Source organism: Homo sapiens, chromosome 9 (genome assembly GCF_000001405.40).
Source record: "Homo sapiens chromosome 9, GRCh38.p14 Primary Assembly".
Taxonomy (NCBI): Eukaryota; Metazoa; Chordata; class Mammalia; order Primates; family Hominidae; genus Homo; species Homo sapiens.
The window spans coordinates 14,071,653-14,077,713 of record NC_000009.12 but is presented as its reverse complement, the minus strand read 5'-3'; positions in this window follow the sequence as shown (position 1 = coordinate 14,077,713).

Sequence of the window (6,061 nt, the reverse complement as noted above, 5' to 3'; positions counted from 1 at the left end):
TTAATTGTACTTTCTATCCTATTGACATCATAGGCAGGGTAAATGAAGGGAAAGGAAGTAATAGTCGCCTTTGCTTTCTTCTTTTGGAAGAAACATATACAAACTAGAAGGTAATCAACCCCCTTTAATGAACCCAAATATTAATATTCTAATGTGTGCAACAAAACCTGGAAAAAGCAAGAATCATATTAAAATTAGGGGGGAAAACCCAAAAGATAAAAAAAGATGTAAATAACATTCTTGGGTAGTAGGAAATAATTAAGACCACAAATTTTTTTATAAACCTATCAATTTTACATTTTAGTTGTAGCTCCACAATCATCACAGAATTATAGCTAGCTCTTAACTAATTGAATAACTGATTAGACAGAATACAGTAGAGATGAAACAATTCTTAAATGTTCTTGACTTTTTTTCTGATACATTTGTGTCCTTCCCAAATACAACATATACGTATATCTTCAGTTTTCCTGAGAAGTTCCAATTATATCTACTCTTATCTGTAAAATTAACTTAATTAAACTTGTAAGCACATTTAATTTTATGTCCTTATAAAAATTTAGCATAGAAGATTATTATTTAAGCAGAAAAATACCCAAATATGTTTTGAGGTTTGGAATAAAAGGTATACCACCAAATCCAGAAAGTTCTGGAATCTCACCTGTGAAGACACAAACCCATTGGTCTGGTAGAGATCACATTAATATTCACATTGATCTCTTGCCTGGGTAGCCTGAAATCAAACTAGGTTCTAGCTTATGTCCTTTCTGGGAATACTGATCAAATCGTGAGCGTGTTACCTGAGCCAGTGCCATCCATGTGGGCCGCCCTGGCTTTGGTGCGTCTCCCCTTCTTGCTCTCTGTTGATGCAGTGCCATTCCCACAGGCTGCCCCTCTGGTGAGAAGCCTCAGTGCACATTTTCTGTTGAGTTTAAAGGAAGGTTGTGAGGAGAAATAAGTCAAATTAATAGCACATGTTAGAAATCACCAAGCCGCCAATGTCAAGATTTTCCTATTAACAGTAACGAAGGTCCATCACAGAGGATGCTAGAGGGCAGGAAACAGTTCAAATAAGAGGGAAACAGTTTTGTTGGCAGCAATGTAAGAGTAAATGGAGTTGCCATTTGTTGAATTATTACTGAGTCATGCCCTGGGCTAAGTCTTTCACTTGTATTATCTTATTTAATCCTCATAAGACTGATAAAAGAGAAGTATACTGATAATACTCTTATTTTACAGATGAGAAAACTGAGGCACAGAGAGACGAAGTGATTTGTCCCAACAAATAGCAGGAAATAATAGGTTTAAATAGCATCTGACTAGCAGACCTAAACTGCTTAACGTTTGTCTTAAAATTTGGTCCAATGAAGTACGTGCTTTTTTTTTTTTTAATATTATAGAACTTGAAGATTTCGGAATACTCTTAATCCCACATTTTGATTACAAACCAAAGCAACCATTGATCTCTGTTTTCTGGGATTTGCGTGATGTGTAATAGTTTGGTCACCAATTTCAATTTCAAAATTATACACCTTCCGTACATTTTGGTGAAGGCTGGACATTCAAAACTTAATATATTGTCAGTTATTCTACCACCATATTTTTAAACTTAATTCATCATTGGGCTTTTAGTGAAACAGCAGAGTAATAGCTATAATTTATTAAGGACTCATTACTGTGGGTTAGGACCTGTGCTTAATATTTTACAGCCAGTATTTTAAATTAAATTCTCAAAAATAAGCATAATCATTTCCATTTTACAGATGAAAAAAGAGAGATTCAGAGATGAAGCAATTTACTCCAAATTCATGCATTATGAATATGGTGGCCCCAAGATTCAAACCCAGGTGTACCTGAATATGAAAGCCATGAACTGCAGTGTGGGATGCTATCTTGTGGCTCTGGTTAAGACCTGGTTCAGGTAGGTGACCAGGTCTCTTACTCATGGTGTTCTCACAGATCTGAGGATTGTGAGAATGCCTAAGATTGCTCTGTGCCCTTGTGAAAACTAAAGCATCCAGAAGTCACAGGACAGAATTATAGCATGTGCAGTGCTCTGCATTCTTCAAGCCTAACATTCTTCAGAGGCAAGAGGAGCACAGAGCCAACACTAACTCTGCCTTGCCCCATGGCTTTGCAGGTACCCAAGATTTGGAAGTAGCTTCATGTGTTCACCAAGAGACGTTGGTGGTTAACTGTTGGCCCAGAAGCCTAATTATGATGAAAGTGGGCTTCCAGGCCTCAACAAGTTTTCTTTCACAGTAGGTGCCCTGAGGAGAAAGGAGGGGTTTGGGGTATGGACTTATTGTTTGAGCCTGCCGTGCAGGTGCAGGTGCCTGCTGCAAAACAATGAACTCCATTGATGGCAATGCCTGGCCCTGCACATGCCAAAGCCAACGCATATTGCTCTAGGCAGGTATGGAAGTCAACAGTGAGGCGTACCCAGGTGGGGGTTCAGGATCTCAAATGGCCTCCTCCTCAGAGCTGACAGAATTAATCATGGCCACGCTGGAGAGCAGACTACCTACAATATATTGAAAAACTGATCTGTGAGTTCGGACAGATACACCAGCGTCAAAGCTCTGGCATTGGGGCAGATGCATCTATTTTCAGAAGTCTCTCCACAAATGGAGAACTGTTTGTCTTAAAGGTGGAAAATTACATGTATTTTACTATTTTAAAGAGGGTATATCTGAATTGCCTTTCCTGCAAAAGAGGAAAAGGAATCCCATGAACATCTTTGGATTTCTTCCTTTCTTTCTTTCTTTTTTGAGATGGAGTCTCACTCTGTTGCCCAGGCTGGACGGCAGTGGTGCCATCTTGGCTCACTTCAACCTCCGCCTTGCAGTTCAAGTGATTGTCCTGCCTCAGCTTTCTGAGTAGCTGGGACTACAGGCACACACCACCACGCCCAGGTAATTTTTGTATTTGTAGTAGAGGCGGGGTTTCACCATGTTGGCCAGGATGTTCTCCATCTCTTGACCTCATGATCTGCCCGCTTCAACCTCCCAAAGTGCTGGGATTACAGGCGTGAGCCACCACACTCAGCCTATTTCTTTCTTTTTTGTTTTCTGAGGAAATAAATATAGATAAGAGGGTAAAATGTATCTTTGAAAAAAACATTTCTGTGATTTTTCAATGAGGAATTGTTAAGTGCCTTATTTCACATGGCTAAGCTTCATCTTCAGACTTGACACTTTTGCAAATCAAAAGCTTATAAGCAGAGGCCACAGACATGGAAATACATCCAGCCAACTAGAAAGGGGCAGGGTATAGGAGTGTAGTCCAGTCTTGCTTTGAAACACTCTTGAGAGAAAGATCGTTTATGAAACACTTACGAATCTCATATAATCTGGCACTACACAGTGTCTTGGACATCAGTTTTTCAGGCTTCTTGAATTCCAACTTAGGGAAGATAGTTCACTTTTAAGCAGGAGCCAAGATGGACCATTTTCATTTTCTGATAAAATCTTATTAACAACAACTATGCCAGCACCAGGATTTGCACTGGGGACACAAGAGTAAGCAAAATCGGCCCAAGCTTTCTTTTTCCTTGGCTCAGGGCAGGGCTTCTAATGAGTGTTTCCTGGTTAAGTAGAATCTGAGAGCAATACGAGTTCAATAGAAATAAATGAGGCAAGTGATGACAAATGCCCCAAGGAGTGCCAACATTTGTGGGTGAATTACTAAGACTCTCGAGACCTCAGTATCTTCATCTATGAAAAGGAAACAATAAGACCCACCTTAAAGTTTGTTGTGGGGAATTAAATGAGATCATATATTATGCCTGGTACAGTCGGACATGGTGGCTCACGCTTGTAATCCCAGCACTTTGGGAGGCCAAGGTGGGCGGATCACCTGAGGTCGGGAGTTTGAGACCAGCCTGACCAACATGGAGAAACCCCATCTCTACTAAAAATAAAAAATTAGCTGGGCATGGTGGCGCATGCCTGTAATCCCAGCTACTCGAGAGGCTGAGGCAGGAGAATCACTTGAACCTGGGAGGCGGAGGTTGTGGTGAGCCAAGATCAGGCCATTGCACTCCAGCCTGGGCAATTAGAGCAAAACTTGGTCTCAAAAAAAAATAAATAAATAAATAAAAGAAAGAAAAAAATTATGCCTGGTACGTAGTAGACCAGAAAGGATGCTAGACATTGTCGTGATCAGTTTTGGATCTCTCTCCTCTTGACCTTTTTATAGATGAATTTATGGGCAGCCCTATAGATTGAGGCCACACTTAGTGCCCCTAAGGTTCTAACTTCCAAGGGGATAAAAACAGACATCAGCTTCTTAAAATTCTCACACTCCTCTCTGATTAGCACCATATTCCAGCCTTCCTTCCTCCAGTGCACCTTCATCAGGCATCACCTCCACATCACACTGCATTAGTTTTCTCTTTCTTTGCGCAACAGGGATAGAGGGATAGAGGACAGGGAGGGTTTCCCCTTTTCTGATTCCCAAGATCACCGTCATTCTCAGTCCCTGCTGAGGGAGGAGGCTTGTCATTTGGGGAGATTTGAAAATCAACCCTAGGGCTTGGCTTGCCAGCCTGGATGTGTGGGCAGCGGCCAATCTGAGAAACAATCTGGATATCACATTGCCCGAGAAAAGGGGATGTCCCTCTGGGAAATAAGCCTGGCTCTGTTTGTATTGGCTTTCAGAGAACTCTTCTGACCTGACATGGTGCTAACTTGGTATTGTGGGAAAGTCCGTCTGACCACTGGCTTCCTGCAGTTGCCTTTTGATTATGCCAAAGGAGGGACCTAAGAAGCAGTGTGCAGATATGGTCTCCAGGGAGAGATGAAATCCCAACTTCTGTCAGCACGAGCACCCACCTCCCCTTGTTTGCATGAGAGAAGAGGAGACCAGGGAAGAATTTAACCCAATCTTGGGAATGTTGCACGCTCGAACTAAAAGTTAGGTTTTTCACTTCTTGGCTTAACCTAAAATGTAGGCGCTGGCCCTCCAGTTGGCTGCCATGGGACAAAGGTTGTTTTTCTGGCTAGGGCCAAAAAGAGTGGAATCTCAGCACAGAGTAAAATTTAACTTTGGATTTTTTGTTTGTTTGTTTGTTTTTCCTCTTATTACACCTTTGACCCCAAACCACACTCCTCCTTCCCTCTCTGCCTCTTTTTCTCACCAACTTCCTGATCAGTCTTCTCAAGTTGCAGCCATGAAACTAGAAATCTATTCCCTGCCTTTGACTTATTGGCATTCCCATGATTATTGGTTAATCTTACAAGAATTAAATGAGTTTTCCTTGGCAGGAACAGAGAGGAGGAGCAGGTTTTAGGAGGGAAAAAGCAAAGTTTATAGTGTTAAATTACCTTGGCCTTATCTGATCGCTTTGAACACTCACTCCCCTCTTCACTCTCCTCTCCCCTTCCCTCCCTAGTGCTTGATAGGATGCAAATTCTGGTTCTCCAGAGTATCCCAGCTGATCTCTCCCTCTGCCTGGTTCCTCACTCACTGGTTAACACATTGAAGTATGAATGACACTAGTCACTAATCTCTTGGCCCCATCCTTTCCACTGTCCCCGAGGTGTTTTCTTGGGCTGACTTCATTTAATTTCAGGATCAGATAATGACACTCTGTAGAAGGTAAGAGTTAAGGACTGGCAATATGGCATAGAAAGACATGAGTTACAGAGCCAGATAGATTTGGGCTCGTTCTAGCCTTTTGGGCAAGTTAACCACTCTGAGCGCTGATATCCCCATTAATAGAGATAATATACCTTTGCAAAAATATATATAAAGCATCTAGCTTGGTGCCACATAGCGGATACTTAGATACTTAATTATCAATGTGATCATTATTACTGGGCTGCTCTGTCTCCTCCTGAGTGCAGTTTTGGGTGGGAGATGATTGTTAAGGAAGGCTACAATATTGGGAGGTATTATTACCACAGCTGCCTTGACCTCCCCATTCGTTTTGTGTCCTGAGGCTCCCTCTGAGGAAATCCGGCAGCCCAAGAAGTTGATGAGGGAGAAGCCAGCAGAGGGAATGTGCTGCTTGGCTTGGAGCCACCACCAGGTGGTGACTGGCTTGGTCACCCAGGGA